The sequence below is a fragment of the Homo sapiens genome, chromosome 3 (genome assembly GCF_000001405.40).
Source record: "Homo sapiens chromosome 3, GRCh38.p14 Primary Assembly".
NCBI lineage: Eukaryota > Metazoa > Chordata > Mammalia > Primates > Hominidae > Homo > Homo sapiens.
Genome location: NC_000003.12, coordinates 165,002,816 through 165,025,345, shown reverse-complemented (window position 1 = coordinate 165,025,345; position 22,530 = coordinate 165,002,816). Strand labels below are relative to the sequence as shown.

The window sequence follows — 22,530 nt, the reverse complement described above, 5'->3', positions numbered from 1 at the left end:
CCAGACTTCTTGCAGGCTGTGTTCATATTGTCTTCTTCTTTTTTCTTTGTCTTTATTGGATTGAGTTAATTCAAAAACCTCATCTTGAAGCTCTGAAGTTCTTTCCTCTGCCTGTATGATTCTATTGCTGAGACTTTCATTTCTGTGTTTAAGGCCATGTGGTAGCATGATATCATCAACGAAATAAGCTTGAATAGATGAGAAGTGTTCAAAGACTAAACCCTGGGCGATTACAAACTTTAGCCAAGGAGGAAATGACAAAGGAGGCTTAGAAAGAACAGCTCAAGTATTGGGTTGGAAATAACATGCTGGGTCCTGGAAGCCAATTGAACAAAGCATTTAGAATGGAAGAAATGATCAACTATGCAAATTGTTTGTCAGTAAGATAAGGACTGGAAACTGACATGTGGATTTGGCAACATGGAAGTCTTTGGTAACTTTAACATGCAAACATTAGATGTAGTACTAGGGATAAAAGCCTAGTTAGAGTGAGTTCAAGAGAAAATCAAGGGACAAATTAGAGATAGTGAGTATGTTTTGCTGTAAAGAAAGCAGAAAAAATAGAACAGTAGTCAGAGAAGTTACTGAAGTGACATTTACTCTAAAAAAATGAGAAAAATAAAATCAGTTTATGCTGTTAAAAATAACATAATGAATGAAATATTATTGATGCAAGAGAGAGGGTGGAGAATTGAGGGAGAAATATTTTTATAGGTAAGGAGGCCTGGGATAGGGTACACAGATGAAATTGTTCACTTTAGATAGAAGCCAGACAGTACACCCTTAAGAAGATGAGTCAAACAGAGTATCTCAATTTAGTCAGCTTAGGCCCCTTTCTTTTAAAGAGCTTTTATGAGGACTCACACAACTTCTTTAAAAGGAAATTGGAAATGTAGATAAATATAATATTTCTCTCCAAAATATAATAATTTAATAAACAAGGAAGATAGGGAGAATGGATTGTGGTATGGCAACCAGCCATCAATGCCAGAGTTTATAATTCTTTTTCTTAGGTTTTATCTCTCACTTCTATGTTAAACCAATCAACTCTGATTCTTGGCCAGGGTTCCTATTTCAAATCCAGGTCAGGATGTAATTAACCAGTATAAGAACATGTTAAAAAAAGAAGGATTGAGAGTTTCATTATAAGTAACAGAATTCTAGCACTTGCCCTTTAGAGGCATGTTATAATGCCATTTTTATACACAATAATCAACAATCAATATGAACAGTAAGAACAAACATGGAATCAAAATTTATTAGTAATATACTTGCTTTTGCAGACAACACAATTTAATGCTATTTTTTGAGTTAAAAAATGTATGACATTTGATCCTTCTGCTCTACCATTCTTTCTCTAGAGTGTAAATGTAAATATTTTGTATAAAATTTTAGTACATGGGATCCCAAATTGCATAAAATATATTTTGTGTTATAACTGTTATTTCATTTTTGTATTAATGAAACTTGTAAATCATACAATGTGTGACTAAACGTCAGTATAATTTTAAAGAGTAAAATATTACAAGGCTTATAATTTCTGGCAATGAACATGCATTGTGTTTTTAGGGTTCTTCTCTATCCAAAGCACCTGAGTGTTACTTTCCCAGACAAGATAACTCTTATTCAGTCAACTCAGCTCGCTATTCATCCATGGGTATAACAGCTGACCTCCAACTAAATACTGCAAATGCCAGAATAAAGTTACCTTCTGACCCCATCTCAACTCTTCGTGTGGAGGTGAAATATCACAAAAATGATATGTTGCAGTTTAAGGTATGCTTGATATAAACTACCCCAAAGCTTAACTCATCTTGTGAGATGAGATTTTGAATAATCCTGTGATTGATATTTAATGTAATATTAAAGGTTATTAACAGATTTGATAATATTTTGATTTTATAAAAATATTTTTTCCTACACAACTCATAGCTAGGTGCCCAATAAATGAAACTGCTCATTCCTGCTAACTTTGTGATTAATACAATGATGATTTTAAAAATAAATTTAAATTCTTACAAAATACATAAGTCATTTATTATCAAACTATGCTGATAGTGTCATTAAAATAAACAAAATTGGATGCCTACTGTTTCCATTATTTTTAAGTTGTGGTCTTAATTTTCTGGCCAATGCAATAAGACATACCAAAGCAATAATTTCATTCAACTTTTAGAGATAGCATTTTTTAACTTAAGAATTCCAAAGGAATCCATTAAGAATAGTATTAGAAATTTAAAATATCAACAAAATAACTAGATGTAAAATTATATTTCCAAAGATATTTTCTTGTGTATTATTGCTCATTATTTAGAAGCAGAAATGGCAACAAATCTCATTAGCAAACTCAAATGAAAAAATCAAATAATAAATCATCAAAAATTATAGGACTAAGTGGAGTATCTGTAAGGAGAAAAACTATTAAAAATGTTCATATTAAGTATTTTAAAATTATAAATAAGAGTAAACGATATTTTAAATGTTAATTCACTTTAGCTCAGTCGCTGCTTTTAAAGTATTTTCATATAAATCTTAGTGAAATATCTTTTGAGACTTCATAAAATAACTTTTAAGTTTGTCTGAAAAAATAAACACCTTGCAATTGTTAAAATTCAGCAATGGGTAAAGAATAAAAATTCATACAATTAAAACAGTGTGGAACTGGAGATAGCATTGCCTGGTTGTTTATTGAAACGAGACGGCACAAAAGCATGGAAGATTTTGTGTGTGTGTGTGTGTGTGTGTATGTGTGATGGCACAAAAGCATAGAAGATTGTGTGTGTGTGTGTGTGTGTGTGTGTGTGTGTGTGAGATGGCACAAAAGCATAGAAGATGTGTGTGTGTGAAGAAAGGTTCACAAATTAATAATGAAGAGGTAGGTTATTTAAAAATTTATATAAAAAAGTGTCTGTTTTTAATCATATGCTAAAATAAAATTTAGAATGAGTTCCATGTGAAAACTAAACATAAGCCTAAAATAAATTTAGCTGCATATTTATTTTGTATCTGGCTAGCAAAGGCCTTTCAAGCCACAGATAAAAAGGCGTTAAGTGACATAGGTAAAAATCTACACATTTTCTAACATAAAAATAAAATATGTTTTCACATCAAAAAACACTATAAACAATTAGAGGACAAAAAAATGGGTAAACATCTGATAAAGATGTGACATAGGGAAAGCAATTCCAACTCATGTAATCAAGAAAAAATATCAAGACCTCTCATAAGAAGATATTTAACAGAAGAAACTAAAATATCAACATAATTACACTCATTAAAAATTCCAGGAGCAAAATGCAGTTTAAAGTACAGTGGAACATAAATGTTGAATAATAATGTAGAAAAAGATGAAACCTCATAAGTAGGAAATGAAATGATTAACAATGAAAAATAAATGCTTTTAATTTAACATAAATTAGCATTAGAGTACACATTTTGGTGAGAATATTAATCAGTAAACAAATTCTGGAAAGCAGTTTGTCAATAGTTATCAAAGACCCTAAAACGGTAAGTATACTCAGACCCTAGTGGTATTTAAGAAATGTGCTGAAGAAATAAAAACACAAATAAACATAAATTAGCATTAGGGTTTATTGTATAATAATATGTATGACAAAAAATATTGAAACAACTTCTGTTTTTAACCATGAAATAATTTTGGTATACCCATACAACAGAATATTTAGCTCTAAAATTTTTGTTTTGATTTCTTATTATTTAGAAAACAAATCACAAAACATTTTTTAAAGGTTCAAAAATGCAGTATTCAGTTAGGACCCATTATAAATGTGTATGTGGAATTCTATATTGATATGGTTATATGGACCATGAATGTAGAATTAGAAATTATGTGGAGAAAAATTCTAAATATTCTTGTTTGAGCCATTATTTAACTTAGTTCATGATATGTACATGCTATGTCAGCAATCAGAATAAACTTTTTTACTACTTATCTGCAATAGATTTATGATCCCCAAAAGAAGAGATATGAAGTACCAGTACCGTTAAACATTCCAACCACCCCAATAAGTACTTATGAAGACAGACTTTATGATGTGGAAATCAAGGAAAATCCTTTTGGCATCCAGATTCGACGGAGAAGCAGTGGAAGAGTCATGTAAGTAATTGAATTATTTGATATAAAGGATATTTTAATTTTAGCTTACGAAGGGAAAAGTAAAATGATTAACAGCCTTCACTGTCCTAGAGTAGCATCACACAAAAAAATTTAAGACGTGTTAAATAACTTTGCCCATTTTAATATTTCTAGCTAAACATAGTCCATGGGACTATTTTAAAGGATTGGCCCACAATTTTATCTACACTTTGGAGGTGTTCAATTTCACTATTAGTATCAGACTCATTCTTCTAATCAAGTTGAGAACCAAAACCAAAACCTCTTTTAAAAAGCATGATAAGTGTTGGCAAAAATAAGTATTTGGAAACAAGTGAAGTAAATATTTTATTGAAACTGTTGAAATAGTTTATTGGTGCTTGAATCTGATAGAATTAATAATTTATCTGCCAGGTATTAGTGAAAATAAGTTACAACATGTAAGTCTAGATATATTTTTATGTTACAATGAATAAATTTAATTTTAAAATTGTAGTCTTTATTTTATTCAAAAGATCTATAAACTATAATATATTAAAATATACTTTTATGTAATTTAAGTTTGCCATGCCATTCCTTAGATGATGTTATCAGGATGTTTTCTGGTATTGTCAAGATATGTACAAATAATATCTAAAACTATATCTGGATTATTTTAATAATTTTGTTGTTATGACAATATTTTTGTTCAAAAGCATGGGAAGCTAAGTCATTTTATAAAAATATCCTGGTGCAAGGGCATTATTTATTGTCATTTGACAAGCATTATTCTCGATTAAATAGTTTTCCAAAATAATAAATATAAAAAGTTAAAATATGCCCAGATTACTTGTAATACTTACGCTTCCTCTCCTTGCCCATGTTACTTTCCTTCCTCTTTATGTTCTTCTTGCAAATGAGTTGAATAATAATATGTTTCTTGTAACACATTTCTTCATACACAGCTATTTTTATGAACATAAAATAAAGGAAGAAAAACACAATTGGGAGTAGTAATAGGAGAGAGTTAAACATTTGAATATCTGTTAAACTTAAAATTCATTATAATATTGATGTATTTTTATTCCATATGTAGAAAAAAATGTATTGTGATTATCTCAAGGGAGCAGGAAAATTGAGGCCTTTTAATTTCTAGGTCACACATTACTAAGTCATTTATGATTTCATATTAATTTTATTTTTAAAAGGAATACTTGTCTAAAGAAAAACATGTACAATCATATTATTTATATTATGATTCTCCTATAAGTATATGAAGCATATTTTACATATTCCTTAACTTAGCTAAAAGAAAACATGTATTAGATTAATCATCTATTTCCATTTGGTACCTGGGTATAATTAGGAATATGGAAAATAATATTGATTTTTAGATAATCTAAGAAAGAATTACCGTTATTATTTGTGATACTACTTTGCATATATTTTGACAGACATAGCTTTGTTTTCTTTTGTTTTCAGTTGGGATTCTTGGCTGCCTGGATTTGCTTTTAATGACCAGTTCATTCAAATATCGACTCGCCTGCCATCAGAATATATATATGGTTTTGGGGAAGTGGAACATACAGCATTTAAGCGAGATCTGAACTGGAATACTTGGGGAATGTTCACAAGAGACCAACCCCCTGGTGTAGGTACCAACATATGACCACTCCACGAGGCAACTAAGACCATGAGTAGAATCCAAGCCACTTCTTTATGGGCCTGTGCTTTAGGATTGAAGTAATGACAAAGGCATTAGCTAGAGATCTCCAGAGCAGCTATAGCAATTTTCTGAGAAACAAACCCAAAAAGTCACCATAAATTACAGGTGGAAGTAGAGGAGTGGATGGATAACAATTTGCTTGACTACTGTGAGAAGCCAGGCTTTGACTCAATACCTTAACTGTTTCAAATGCATACAAAGAATATGCTGATTCTGTATTCCCTGTCAAGTTTACCTTTACTCCAGCTTTTAGAAAATAACTGCCTAAAGTTTTCCTTGATTGTTTTTACTTCTCAGGTACTGATTTGATCTTTTTTCCCTTTATAACCTTCAGTTGCAGTTGGGTAACTTTATGTGGCCAAAGTGCTAATTACATCTTTACAATGTGTTTTTATATACTCATGACTCTTTTTCCAAAGATTTGTCTCGTTAATGCAACACATTTTATGAATATTTAATGTACTGTGCAACAAATAATATTATCTATAATATTCCAAACATATCATAAAAAATATATTTTAATGAAAATTATTCTATTTGTATTTTTCACATGTGATGTATACTTAAAAGGATATACTCAGTACCATACTATAAGTCTGTGAACTATTGTAAGCATTTTTTATTGTTAGGTGCTCAAACAGCTTGCATTTATATCATAATACTCCAAACTTAGGTTATTGAAGGCTGTTTTCTATTAACACTAACTTGAAAGAATACATTTTACCAAAACTGATTTCTTAAAATCCCTTCAGCATTTGTACCGATATTATTAGACTAATATACTTTTGATTCTTGATATCTAAAATTACTTCCACTAGTAATTTTGCATATTACTAAAAATAAATTACTATAAAATCTATTTCACTGGTAATTTTATATATATTAAGAATCAAAAGTATATAATCTAATAAAATCTGACTATGATTACAGTATGAAACAATGAATTAAATATTTTATAAATATAAAACTTTAAATGTTCTATAAATATAAAATATATAAACAAGATATTTTCTGGACAGTTTAATTGTATTCATCACTTTTATCATTTCTAGGACATTTTACTATGGAAAAAATACCAATTTATAGATAAGTTAAACACATAACCTTTGGAAATAAACCAAACTACTCTAATGGCAATAGTATTCTATGTCATTTAATGTGGAAGCATTTGCAGTTGTTACATATTGTATATTAATACAAATATATACATATTTGTATATTAATTTCTATTAATATACAAATATTATAGAAACATATTTGTAAACTGCACGAAAGCAGAAAAAATTTAAACAATTATATTCTAGGGAGACACATTTATTTTAACTGAAGCATAGTTTAAGGTTGGGAAACGGGAATTTAAATATCAAGTCTCGATTGTATAATAAATTTTAAAATAACATTGATTAAATTCACATGCTATTGTTACTTAAAATATATTGTGCTTATTTTTCGTATTTCAGTACAAACTTAATTCCTATGGATTTCATCCCTATTACATGGCTCTGGAAGAGGAGGGCAATGCTCATGGTGTTTTCTTACTCAACAGCAATGCAATGGGTAAAACAATCATTTGTTGAATGTCTCTTATTTTATGTGACTTTTTCATAAACTAGTATACATAGATGAAAATGGGATGTTATTTTGGATTTCCAGATGTTACATTCCAGCCAACTCCTGCTCTAACTTACCGTACAGTTGGAGGGATCTTGGATTTTTATATGTTTTTGGGCCCAACTCCAGAAGTTGCAACAAAGCAATACCATGAAGTATGATTGCATATTTCTTTTAAAAAAATTAAAAATTTTTATAGCATAAAGTAATTCTCTTAGTTCACACATGAATTTTTTTTAAAGGTAATTGGCCATCCAGTCATGCCAGCTTATTGGGCTTTGGGATTCCAATTATGTCGTTATGGATATGCAAATACTTCAGAGGTTCGGGAATTATATGACGCTATGGTGGCTGCTAACATCCCCTATGTATGTATATCAATTTTAAAACAATGTTAAATATGGAATACGTAAAAGTAGAATGAAATAATTAAACATGTATACTTTAATTTAAGCAGCTGGTAATAATGCTTAGCTTTTTTTACTGGCACCTTATGTATTGGATATGAGATTTATAAACAGTGTCTTTGTCAGACTGATAAAGGAGAGGAAGAAATACCATTCCTTTTCCTTTTCCCTCCCTAATACTATCATGCTGTGTTGTGCTAAACAAGTCACTGTGCACTTGATTTCCTCTCACAAACTCTGGGTTGTACAGGCAGTCACTATGTTCTCTTCATGTTAAAGTTCACAGAAATATGTATCATCAATAAGATAAGAAATCTGTATCATCAACCAGAGAACAAGTTGGAGGTGGAACTAATTTTTTTTTTGCCCTGGAATAGATAATAGTTGTAATATATAATAGAGATTCACTCAATATTCAGGAAGCTAAGTATTCCAAAGTATCCACAAATGATCAATCTCTGAATTTCCTCATTTTTTATCAAAATTAAGGAATCCTAGGGATGCTGCTGCTAACACCCAAACATTAAAATATAGAAGGCTTGATATATAAGAGTTTATTCTAAGAAAAATCAGAAAAACCTCATTATAAGACATTGGTATTTATAGTAGGGTCCAATATAGAGTTCCTGAATAACTAGTATGGGAAATTAATTATATATGTTGACAATACAGAAACATGCACGTGGAAATTTATTATTTAAAAGGAGGTATACATTATTGACCATACTTTCTATAACACATAGAAGAAGAAATTGAGATAATGTCAACTAACAGAAAATAATTAACAAATTTTGTATTTAGGCTTCAATTGAATATTCCATGATACAATTCAAATATTTGTTGGTTTAAACATACTTGCAATTACCTATCTTAAAACAATTCTTGCTTAGATAAGCAGGGCTGTTATCCTAAAAGTGACTTTGATGGATATTACAAGAACAAGATTATAGTAATTGATGTAATTGTTAATACTCCTTTTGCCAATATTAGAATTATTTGAAATTACCCGATATTTGCTGTATACTTCCCGGAAACAGCAACATCTCTTTCTGTATATACTGTACAAAAGTCCTATTTGTCATTTAACCTAATTTCATAGTATCATAAATCCTATTGCTCAGTGTCTTTCTGTTTCCTTTGAGGATTACATAATATATACCAATTTAGAACAGTTTTTACCTCTAAATCAAAATGACTAAATGAACTGTTGACAAAACAGAACATTTATAGAAAGTTGTTCTTAGAATACTTTACATCTTTACATGCTACTTTTATTCCTTGAACACTAAACCATTTAATTCTTTTTAGGATCTAGTGAAGAGGAACTCAAACTTTCATATTGCTGTTACTTTTATAAGTATGATAAAATATGATACACTTACTATTTTGTATTTTTTGCCCTACTTTGATAATTTTTGGATATTTCAGGATGTTCAGTACACAGACATTGACTACATGGAAAGGCAGCTAGACTTTACAATTGGTGAAGCATTCCAGGACCTTCCTCAGTTTGTTGACAAAATAAGAGGAGAAGGAATGAGATACATTATTATCCTGGTCAGTACTTGGAGTTTACCTGAGTCTTATTTCTTGTTTCCATTAATTCACCTAAAATGAGCAGGTGGGGGGGAAGATGTTTCAAAATAGAAAGTATATAACTTTGAGTAACACTCCCAAATCTAAAACTCTCTTCCTTTAGCACTTCATTTTATTTGCATGGGTTGTGATCAGCTACCTTTGTATTTAGGTATATCCCTAGAGATTTAAAACCAAAGCTGAGTTAAAGGGAAGCTGTTTTCTAGTTATCATCCAAGCTACAAATTGGCCTCTATTTATGGGAGTTATCAAAATGTAATGGTAGATTTTCTATTTTTATACAATTATTAGTTCATTCTCTGGGATTGCTTCTGATGTTTTTCATATTTAAAAACTTGCCTTCAGATTGGTGATTCAGTGAAGATAATTTTTTATCACTATCTTATAGGAAGTAAGCTAGTTAGCCAGATATCTCACCATAGAAATAAAAACAAAATAAAAACCTCTACTAATCTTTCTTGAAATGATAGCTGATGCATTTCCAAGAGTCCTTAGAATTTCCTTCTAAGAAATTTGGAGGGAAATCTAGCTAGAACACTGATGTTTGTATCATTTGTCATTTAATGTGAGAGCACATTATTATGATAATGTAGTAATGAAAACTTATGCTTCATAATCACTGTCCAAGTAGTTACGCTTTTTTCATGTGTACCTTGTTTATATTTCATTTTAATTTTAGGATCCAGCAATTTCAGGAAATGAAACAAAGACTTACCCTGCATTTGAAAGAGGACAGCAGAATGATGTCTTTGTCAAATGGCCAAACACCAATGACATTTGTTGGGCAAAGGTACTAAATCGATATCTTGAAATAGAATAAATACAAAAATTATATTTCAATGAAAGTTTCCATTTAATTAGTAAAAGTTAAAACCGTTCAGGAGAGCTATACAGAAATGTAATGATTTAATAACTAATAAAATAATGTATAGTCTTTGGTTCAATCCAAATTAGACACAAAGAAAGAATTCATATAAGTCACATGTCCAAATATGATTTGTTTCATCTTTAAGACATATTTTATTATATTTATTGGTACCACTTGTAATTTATTATAAGACTACCATTAGTAAGATGGCTACTCATTATTCTGTACTGCAAGTTATTTAAATGTTCACTTCTCTTGAAAACATATGTTAATAGTAGCAACAACATGTTTTGACAGCTATACTTATATTTAAAACTTAGATCATGAAGTATAATTCACTGTATTTTATATAAACAAGTATATTCAGACCTGATATATTAATATATTACAAAAATATTTTGATTTGGCTTTTATATAAAGCAATCAAGAAAAAAATCTCATAGTAAAAACTAGAATGAACAACAATGATAACACCATCAAAAAAATCTATGATGAGGGCCAGGCGTGGTGGCTCACGCCTGTAATCCCAGCTCTTTGGGAGGCCAAGGCGGGCGGATCATGAGATCAGGAGATCGAGACCATCCTGGCTAACGTGGTGAAACCCCGTCTCTACTAAAAATACAAAAAAATTAGAAGGGCATGGTGGCGGGTGCCTGTAGTCCCAGCTACTCAGGAGGCTGAGGCAAGAGAATGGAGTGAACCCGGGAGGCGGAGCTTGCAGTGAGCCAAGATCGAGCCACTGAACTCCAGCCTGGGGGACAGAGCGAGACTCCGTCTCAAAACAACAACAACAACAACAAAAAAAAATCTATGATGAGAGACACAATTAAATGAAATGTGAGAGGCTTTTTGAATCTTGGGCCAAAATTAAGACATTAGTGATTAAATCTGCAAAATGCAAACATGTTCAATAAATGTTGATTGTACTGTATCAACATTAATTTCCTGGTTTTGATAAGTTCACTATTGTTATATAACATGTTAACATTAGAGAAAGCTGAGTGAAGAATATAGACAGGGCTGGGCACAGTGGCACATGCATGTAATGCTTGCAGTTTGAGTGGCTGAGGTAGGAGGATTGCTTGAGCCCAGGAGTTCGAGATCAACCTGGGCAACATAGGGAGATTTTGTATCTACAAAAAATTTAAAAATTAGCTAGGCATGGTGGTGCATGCCTGTAGCCCCAGCTACTTGAGAGGCATATTAATCCAGAGGTTTTTTTTTAACTTCCTACTTTCTCCTCATTCTGTATTTCTACACATTTTGTCAGATTTCTACCATTTCTCCCCTTCCTTTAGAGCACTATTCTCTACCATCAGCTAATCCCTTGTAAATAATTCCTTTTTGGTGGATTATTTATATTTTTATATAGGACTTTCAAACTTCTACAATATAGATCCAAATTTCCAGAGCTTTCAGCAAATTGAATTTCAGCTCTGTTTTGTGTGTTTCTGGTCAGAGTAGAAGGAAAAAAATGTTGGTAGGCAATGAGGTCAGGCTGGGAATAGTGGTGGGATGAAGGGAGAGGAGGATTTAGTACTAATTCTGAAAATCACTGGGATGTTTGATTCAGCATGACATTATTCAATCGGATCTTTGCTTCCTTTCAAACAAAAAGATTTATTGTTTTTAGTTTTTAACCCTGGAGTAATTCTACAAATAATTCTAATATACTATATTAAATTAAATTTAACTTATATTTTTCATATTAGTTTTTGACCAGAACCTTTTGGTTATATGTATTATTTTCAAAATTACTAACTACCATAAAGGTTGGCAATGCTATTTTGTATTTGCCATATTAAAGAGGAGACTAACATGGAAAATGGGAATAGTTTGCAAATGGTATGTGTGTCAATAATAATGAGATTTGAAGGGATTGCAGATCTGAAGACTTTGAGTTAATAATAAGCCTCTAATACTCCATTACACTTCATCTACATAGCAATCATATCATGCTGACTATGTTTTGATCAGCTTTTCCATGTCTTGTCTCTTGTAGGTTTGGCCAGATTTGCCCAACATAACAATAGATAAAACTCTAACGGAAGATGAAGCTGTTAATGTAAGTTTTACACGGGCTAACTATACAATGAGAAGAAATTCAAAACTTAGACTTGATTATTTTAATCAATAACTAAATTTGAATGCTTTTCTTTAAAAATAGATGGCCATTTTAAATTATCGATATCAGACCATATTTAGATAAAATTTACCTAATTTTCCTAAATAACAAAGTACCAGTCACCCTATTAAGCAATTTTATATTTTGCTTTATTTAATCCAAGCAATCATTCCTTTATTTAAAAAGTTATGGCCTGGCACGGTGGCTCATGCCTGTAATCCCAGCACTTTGGGAGGCCAAGGTGGGTGGATCACGAGGTCAGGAGATTGAGACCATCCTGGCTAACATGGTGAAACTCCATCTCTACTAAAAATACAAAAAAAAATAACCAGGCGTGGTGGCGGGAGCCTGTAGACCCAGCTACTCGGAAAGCTGAGGCAGGAGAATGGTGTTAACCCAGGAGGTGGAGCTTGCAGTGAGCCCAGATCGCACCACTGCACTCCAGCCTGGGTGACAGAGCGAGACTCCATCTCAAAAAAACAAAACAAAACAACAACGACAAAAAATTATTACAGTAATAACATTTAACATTAGATCTACCCTCTTAATAAATGTTTATTCATATAATAAATCATCGTAAACTATAGGGGCAATGTTGTGCTGCAGATCTCTAGAATTTATTTACCTTGCGTAATTGAGATTTTGTGTCTATTTCTTAGCAAGCCCTTATTTTCTCCCACTTACAGTCCTGGGCAACTACCATTCTACCCTATGCTTTTATGAGTTTAACTGTTTTAGATACTTCATGTAAGTTGAATCATACAACATTTGTCTTTCTGTTACTGGTTTATTTCACTCAGTATAACATCCTAAACATTCACTCATGAAAGCAAAAGGAATGAATAAGATATTAAATGCAAATGATAAACAGAAGGGAACAGGAGTGGCTATAGTTCTATCAGAGAAAATACATTTTAAGACAATCACTGTCACAAAAGACAAAAGAAGTCATTATATAATGACAAAAGGGCCAATTCATTAGGAAGATACGATGATTATAAATATTTGCTCCCAACATGAAAGCACTTAAATATTTAAAGTAAACATTAACAGAACTGAAATGAGAAACAGCAATGCTGTTTGAAGACTTTGTTGCCACACTTTCAATAATAAATAGAACAATAATAAATAAATAATAATAATAAATAATAAATAAATAATAACAATAATGAATAAATAAATAATAAATGATAATACATAAATAGAACAATAATAAATAAATAATAACAATAATAAATAGAACAACCAGAGAGCAAATCAACAAAGAAACAGCAGTTTTTAACAACACCGTAGGCCAAATGGACTTAACAGACATACGTAGAACTTTCTACCCAAAAGCAGCCATATATACATTCTTCTCAAGTGCCCATAGAACATTTTCTAAGAGTGATCACATGTTAAGTCACAAGACAAGCCTTAAAAATTGTGAGAAGATAGAAAACATACCATTTATCTTTCCCAGCCACAATGAAATTAAACTAGAAATCAGAAAAAGAGGGGAAATAAGTCAATTCAAAAATACGTGGAAATTAAACAACCCACTTTTGAACAGCCAGTGGAACAACAAAAAGATCAAAAGAGAATTAGAAAATTTCTTCAGACAAACAAAAATAAAAATACAACTTAGCAAAACTTCTGGGATGCAGCAAAAGCAGTACTAAGAGAGAAGTGTATAACAAGAAACACCCACATGAAGAATAATAAAAATCTCAAATAAATAACATTACCTCTCAATGAATTAGAAAAAGAATAAACTTAAAGTTAGTAGAGGGAAGAAAATAAAGATTAGAGGAGTAAAAATTAAAAGAAAAACACAAAATAAATAGAAAATATCAACAAAACTAAGAGTTGGTGATCCTTCTTTTAGCCAGATGAATTTACAATCATTAAATTATACAAGTTTAGGTAACTGTGAAAAATTTGGGAGCTTAAAACTTACCAAAACTACTTCTAAAACAGAGTCAGATAATTGAACCTACTGAACTATGTCATTGAGGAAAAAAGTGTTATTTCAACTTGAGTTCCACCCACTATTCTTGAGAACCACTAGAGAGACAGGCATGGATTTTTATATAGGTGTTGGAGGACAGTGTCAATTTACGTAGAATGGCTTATGCAGAATTCCCTGGGATTCTCTTCCACAAAAGGTATCAACAGTGTTGGATTACATGTACCTGATTGATTTTCTGGATATAATCAATGATTTTATTTAAGTGATAGAAGCAGCCAGCTAATAGAATAAGTTAAACTAAAAAATGAATTATGTAAAGAGCAGAAAAGTGAAAATTAATGAAAAAGATCTGGCACTACCATTTGTTATTAATTATCATACGGGAGATCCTTGCATAGAAAATATTCAATATAATCCCACCAAGCCTTCTATCCTTATGAGTAAAATGTAATTAATAGGTAAGATGATAAAATTAAGTCCCTTTCTACTCTTGAAGATATTCATCATAGGCCAGGTGCGGTGGCTCACGCCTGTAATCCCAGCACTTTGGGAGGCCGAGGCGTGTGGATCACCTGAGGTCAGGAGTTTGAGACAAGCCTGACCAACATGGTGAAACCCCGTCTCTACTAAAAATACAAAAAATTAGCCAGGTGTGGTGGTGGACATCTGTAATCCCACCTACTCTGGAGGCTGAGGCAGGAGAATCCCTTGAGCCTGGGAGACAGAGGTTGCAGTGAGCCGAGGTTGTGCCATTGCACTCCAGCCTGGGCAACAAGAGCAAAACTCTATCTTAAAAAAAAAACAAAATCCATCATATGTATTTTGTAAATCTCTATATTTCCTACTCTCTGCATTTTCTGTATGTCCTCCGATATCTTGTTCATAAAGAAGACTGTTAAGGCCGTTACAACAGAATCTTAACATGTGCCAAAAAAGCATCCAGGTTGTCATGTCATTTTTTTGAGACATACCCAATTAACTTAGCTGCAGGTCAATCTTTTGCTAAAACACGGTTACTCTGACACTGGAACTTTTATGTTTCGACTGGCAAGTAGGGAATATTCTTAGTAGAGATTGGAATAAAACACCTCTTCTCTGTTGGGATGAGAAGGGCTAGATGTGAGAGACAAAAAAAGAAGCAGTTGATGAGGGTGGTGAGATGGTTCTGGGAAATGAGAAAGCTATATAAAAACAGGCTTTATACTATGGCCCTTTGCTGTTTCATTGTGCTCCACAAAGGTAAACCTGAAGTATGGGCTCTGCAGTAACAGAGAAAAAAAGCTTCCCCATTACTCTAGGAAGCACTAAAAATAATGCTTTTGTGGGTTGTGAACTGTTCCTTTATAATTCACATAGGATTCCAAAATGGCTCTATTATCTCCACCGATGTCCCTCTTTACTCTATTGAAGTGTTGAGGAAGAAACCACACACATTTATGTAATTAAGATTGATGTCAATTTCCTTCATTATCAGTCATACATGACTTGTGGATCTGTCAAATACATTCAGATTTATATGTATATAATCTCTCTTAAGACTTTCCACATGTGAGCCTAAATTTTGGTTTTACAGGCTTCCAGAGCTCATGTAGCTTTCCCAGATTTCTTCAGGACTTCCACAGCAGAGTGGTGGGCCAGAGAAATTGTGGACTTTTACAATGAAAAGATGAAGTTTGATGGTTTGTGGATTGTAAGTAAGCTTTGAACAATCTATGTTTTAAGTTATTTATTGTGCAGTGATTATGCAAAATTAGTACTTGGCTCAAATAATGTCAACAAAATATTTTATTTGAAAACTAGTCCACTTTTTTCCCCCACAGAACTTTCTTACACAAACAACTGCTAAAGTAAAGTGTTAAAAACTAAATTTATGTGTATGGATGCTATTTCCTGGACTTTTTCAATTTGCAAAATTCAAAAAGCAAAATATTCTATATATTAATAAATCCTTGTAAATATTTATTTCACTTTTATTTAATATAGGAATAAGTGTCAGGCTTAAATAACCATTAGTCCTTTGTATGAGAGATAAAAATTTCTTAAATTTGGTAACATTGTCTTTTAAAGTTTCTTTTTTGATGTAATCTTAAAATGTTAGTAGTAAGATTTTTAATAATATATTTTTTTAGATAGCATAAAAATAATTTACTTTGCTACAAGTAAATGCTTAATACAGAAAATTTTATGTAATATATTTCAATTTCCGGAGGAAAAATTTTTTACTTTGTTGATTTTTCCAGTGTAAAGCATTAATTTACTTATTTTTTAAATTGAAAAAAGCTTTATACAGCTGTCACTATGTGGAAACTTTGTAGATATAAGATTGTATAAAGCATATATTTTGTTTAAAAATTCATGGAACATCTATGTTTATTAGATGTAGCAATTGGTATACCATAAGGGATTCTCTTAAGTATATTCCTGAGAATGTCATCTGGATCCAGAGAAAATTATCTTTTTCAGGTGGAGGCAATCCATTTTAAATGGTGGCTGACTTATTTATTTAGATCATGATTCTTTTAAATATGACTACTGAGATTCTGAGATATGTACTCAATAGAGATACTTCTTGAAATTATCTGCATTTGTAAACTATTAATATATCTTGTAGTTTTAGCAATAAAAGCAATTGATATCAGGCTCAGGGCAGGAGTGGAGGGGAAGGAGATGATAGGGCACATATTATTATAATGCTATGTCTTAAAGATATGAAAATAAACTATTTTTATGGGTATAATGCATAATACAGAGAAAACAAAACATTTTATTTTTCAAAAGGAAACTGAAAAAAGCAATCAATGAGATAAACTAATATCATTGAGATGTTTTACAATTTTGTTTGTTTAGAATAGTGAGTATATATAACATTGTTCAAATATGTTAACCTACTTACTTTTTGAACTAGCTCTTTTGAGAATATATGTTGTAAATTTATCTTTTGTTTACCTTTTTCTTTCATCTTTTTTTAAGGATATGAATGAGCCATCAAGTTTTGTAAATGGAACAACTACTAATCAATGCAGAAATGACGAACTAAATTATCCACCTTATTTCCCAGGTACAATATTGTTGGTATGCCTTTGATATTATCATGTTATTATTATATATTAATAGGTATATAATATAAACTGATATATATCAGTTAGCTATACATAGAATATATATATAGAATATATATGTATATATAAAAAATCAGTTTGATATATATAGAAGGTAGGGAATAGGATTCACACACCCAATTTTCACTACCCACCCACACACTGGACCACACCTTGACCCATTACCAATATTATTTAACACTATTTTGAGAAAAAAATCAAGGAATATATTTTATCTACATGAACACAATTCTAAATTTGTTTGAAGTTGTTATTTTGGTTTGCTTAATAATTTTCCCAGATTCAAAAAATGTTAAATACTCTTTAAGATAAAAAATAAAATTATTTTGAAAGGAAGTTTTTAGAAGTGTTTCTTTACTAAGGATAAGGGAAAGAATGCTAACACTTATCTGTTTACCTTTGACATAGAAGGAAATGAAGATGAATGTGATGTTTCATATTCATCATCATTCTCTTATGCAGGCAGAAAACGTCACAAACTATTAGCATATTAAGTGATGGCAAAACTCTGGAAAAAAATCTTAAACTGAGAAAATGTGGATCAAAAGGCAGTGTTATAACATTTGCCTAGCCCTTAAACTCTGGGCTTTATGATACCAAGTGAATTTTTAATAAAACTCTAATCAGTGTTTTCCATCTAAATGCACTAGAAAGAGTAGACATTGAGGAGTGTACTTATTTTTCAGGTTTTTATTAATTCATGTAATTCAGTTACAATTTCAGGCCATTTTAAGTTGATAATTAACTCATACAAAGTATACAAATGGTTAAAATATACATAGGTTTTATAAAACACTGATTAATTTCTTTGTCAAGGAATACATAATTATGAGTTACACGTTTCATTGTAGGGCACTGTATAATATATTAATATTTTTTCATTGATTCTTTCCAGAACTCACAAAAAGAACTGATGGATTACATTTCAGAACAATTTGCATGGAAGCTGAGCAGATTCTTAGTGATGGAACATCAGTTTTGCATTACGATGTTCACAATCTCTATGGATGGTCACAGATGAAACCTACTCATGAGTAAGCAATGTTCTGAATTATCCTCTCTGACTCTTTTATTCTTTGGTTCTTACATTTAATGTTATCATTTTAACAGTCCCGACAATCTTCTCTTGTATCTCTTTACTTCCCAATTGTTCTCTGTAACTTCTTCCTTCATAGCATTTAGAAAAAATGTGTTTCTTTCTATCTAATTTATCTAAATATCTTTATTGTTATTATTCTAATTTCTATACTATTCCAAAATAAATCCTAGACCATTTTTATTTTGTTTCTATGTGCCCAGCATAGTGCCTGGCCAATTGTAGGTGCTCAATAAATAATATTGGATTAATATTTATAAATGAATTAATAACATATAATTTGATATCATTAAGACATAAAGCATCAAACATTTGGCGAAATCTGTTATTTGAATTCATTGTCAGCCCAGGCACAGTGGCTCACGCCTGTAATCCCAGCACTTTGGGAGGCTGAGGCGGGCGGATCAATTGAGACCAGGAGTTCAAGATCAGCCTGGCCAAAATGGTGAAACCTCATCTCTACTAAAAATACAAAAAATTAGCCAGGAGTGGTGGTGCAGAGCTGTGGTCCCAGTTACTCGGGAGGCTGAGGCACAAGAATCGCTTGGACCTGGGCGGCAGAGGTTGCAGTGAGCCAAGATTGTGCCATTGCACTCCAGCCTGGCAACAGAGCGAGACTCTCTGTTTCAAAATAAAAATAAAAACATAAAATAAATAAATTCATTATTAGTAAATTAGAGCACTTTTAATGAACTTCTCAAATATTAATGATCATAGTAATTATCTGCATTTTTAACAAACTTTTATGTAAGGCCAATGATGATGGAATACAGACCATTCACTGAAAATCAATTCTTTATTAGCACTTTCCAATACAAGTTTTGCAGTGATTGAAATCTTCTGGCCAGGCACAGCAGCTTATACTTGTAATCTCAACACTTTGGCAGGCTGAGATGGGAGGATCACTTGGGCCCAGGAGGTTGAGGCTGCAGTGAGCTGTGCTCCTACCACTGCATTCCAGCCTGGGCAACAAAACAAGAACCTGTCTGAAAAAATAAATAAATATATAGAAATCATCTATAATTCTGGGTGCCAATGTGGTACTTACCAGCCATATATGGCCATGGAACAATGTGTCTAGTGTGACTCAGGAATGGAATTTTAAAGTTATTTAATTTTAAGTAGTAGTATACAATAATTAAATATGAAATAATAGATAATTAGTGGCTACCATATTAGACACTGCAGTTGTAGATCCCTGGCTTTTGACTACATATTATAATCACTTGGAGATTTTCTTTTTAGGGTTTAGATTTTTTTTAAGTGTCATGTGCACATAGTAGGTGGGTATATATATTGGGCAAGTGAGATACCAAGCATGCAATACACAGTAATCACCTCATAGAAAACAGAAGGATTTTTCCCCTCAAGATTTATCCTTTGTGTTACAAACAATCCAATTACACTTTTAGGGTTTTTTTTAAGTATACAATTAAACTATTATTGACTATCATCCTGTTGTGCTATCAAATAGTATATATTATTCATTCTTTCTAACTATATATATAGCACCCATTAACCATCCCTGCTGTATTAGTCTATTTTCACTCTTTCATAAAGATACTACCTGAGACTGGGTAATTTAAAGATGTTTATTTAAAGACTGGGCAATTTAAAGAGGTTGAATTGACTCACAGTTCTGCATGGCTGGAGAGTCCTCAGGAAACATACAATCATGGCAGAATGTGAAGGAGAAGCAAGGTGCATCTTACATGACTTTAGGAGACAGAGATAGTGATGGGAGAACTGCCATACTTTAAAACCATCAGCTCTCATGAGAACTAACTCACTATTACAAGAATAGCGTAGGGGAAACCGCCCCCATGATGGAATCACCTCCCACCAGGTCGCTCCCTTGACAGGTGGGGATTGCAATCCCTGATGAGATTTGGGTGGGATCACAAAGCCCAACCATAACACTTGCTTTCCCCTCACCCCCACACAACCCTTCCTAGCTTCTGGTAACCATCCTTCTCCCGTCTATATTCATGAGTTCAATGTTTTGCTTTTTCAAAATTTTTAGCAGCCACAATAAGTGAGAACATATGAAGTTTTTCTCTGTGTCTTACTTAATTCATTTAACATTTAATGACTTCCAGTTTCCTACATGTCGTTGCAAATGACAGGATTTTATTCTTTTTTATAGCTGCATAGGACTCCGTTGTATATATGTACCATATTTACTTTATCTAATCATCTGTTGATGGACACTAAAGGTGCTTCCAAACTTGGCTATTGTGAACAGTGCTGCAATAAACATGGGAGGGCAGATATCTTTTTGATATATCTTTCTTTTGGATGCATATTCAGCAGCAGGACTGCTGAATCATATAGTAGCTCTATTTTTATTTTTTGGGGAAACTTCAAACTGCTCTTCATAGTGGTTGTATGAATTTACATTCTTACCAACAGCGAAAGAGCATTACCTTTTCTCCACAGCTTCAACAGCATTTGTTACTGGCTGTCTTTTGGATAAAAGCCATTTTAACTAGGGCGAGATGATGTCTCATTGTAGTTGTGATTTGCATTTCTCTGATGATCGATGATGTTGAGCACCTCTTCATATGCCTGATTGCCATTTGTATGTCTTCTTTTGAGAAATGCCTATTCAAATATTTTGCCCATTTTTAAATCAGATTATTAGAAGTTTTTCCTATAGAGTTGTTTGAGCTCCTTATATATTCTGGTCATTAATCCCTTGTCAAATGATTATTTTGCAAATATTTTCTCCCATTCTGTGGTTTGTCTTTTCACTGCGTCTTTTGATTGGAGTGTTTAATCCATTTATATTCAATTTCATTACTGATGAGTAAGGACTTACTCCCACCATTTGTTATTTGTTTTCTAGTTGTTTAATGGTCTTCTCATTCCTCTTTCATTTCTTCTTATTTCCCTTTTCTCTGGTGTTATTTGATTTCTTGCTTTTTATATTTTGTATATCTGTTGTATGCTTTTTCATTTGCAATCACCATAAGGCTTGTGATTTTTAAATAAATTATTATTTAATTGGTCTCTTTTATAGCCTAAGCATCTGAATATTTAAAACTTTCCAGGCAGTTCTAATGAGCAGACAGGGTTGAAAACTTCTGTTCTAACAAATAGCTGAAGTTGATAAAAGAATAAAAAGCATTTTGAAGTAAAGAGTATGGATAAAATTTCTCGCTTAGTAAAACCTACTTATCTTATTTCTATCAATTAACTCTTAATCAACTCAGAATACATGAATGTATGACCAAAAACTCACTTGTTCACCAAATCCAAAAATAAAACACTAAGTTATTTTAAGAGTGAATAAACTGGCATTGAACAATGCCTTTTCACTGGGGCAAATGTTACTTTTGATTAACCCTGCTGGAACACAATATTGGGGCATAATTATCCACAGCTAAATTTACTTTAACTAAAACTGTAGACATTAAAAAGAACAAAAATATTGAAAATTGAGTGATGATCTTATTGACAAAAATTATGTGCTTTGAGTTGAAAGTATGTAGCTTAACAAAAATTGAAAAAAAAATTCCTCTCCACAGAAGACAGGAAATAAGTATACTTCTGAAGCACATTACAGAGTCAAACATGATTCTTGACACATTGTGGATGCTTAGTAAATTTAAATAAATTCATCATTATCCTGTTATAATCACAGGTATCAAAGTTGTTTTGATAAGTTCAAGGTAGATACAGGTAAATTTCCAAATAGTCCATATGCAGAGATATTTAAGCGTATGTAAAGTCCATTTCCACTTTTAAGCAAAATTATGAGGAGGAAATCAGCACAATCTTCCATGGAATATCCTTGAAAATGAAATCAATATACATATACTTATTAGTGCTAATTTTGCTCTCGTTCATAAAACTTTTCAGTGCAAGTTTCAATCACATTACTTAAATTGAGTAGATTAATTGGATTAAGTATTAAGTAGCCTATTTTATACAGT

At 31.8% G+C, this 22,530-nt stretch overlaps 1 protein-coding gene across 4 annotated transcripts in view; it reads left to right on the top strand.

The window, feature by feature from the left end:
- Nucleotides 1-22,530, top strand: part of SI (sucrase-isomaltase) — a 111,335-nt gene that overhangs the window by 64,887 nt on the left and 23,918 nt on the right. For all 4 annotated transcript variants that reach the window (XM_047448735.1, XM_047448736.1, NM_001041.4 and 1 more), the window contains 12 exons: nt 1,570-1,776; nt 3,963-4,117; nt 5,576-5,744; nt 7,280-7,376; nt 7,473-7,585; nt 7,673-7,798; nt 9,266-9,394; nt 10,113-10,223; nt 12,304-12,366; nt 15,951-16,067; nt 17,348-17,435; nt 18,392-18,530. In XM_047448735.1, the coding sequence (XP_047304691.1) occupies nt 1,570-1,776; nt 3,963-4,117; nt 5,576-5,744; nt 7,280-7,376; nt 7,473-7,585; nt 7,673-7,798; nt 9,266-9,394; nt 10,113-10,223; nt 12,304-12,366; nt 15,951-16,067; nt 17,348-17,435; nt 18,392-18,530 (1,514 nt within the window). The remainder of the gene's footprint in view (nt 1-1,569; nt 1,777-3,962; nt 4,118-5,575; nt 5,745-7,279; nt 7,377-7,472; nt 7,586-7,672; nt 7,799-9,265; nt 9,395-10,112; nt 10,224-12,303; nt 12,367-15,950; nt 16,068-17,347; nt 17,436-18,391; nt 18,531-22,530) is intronic.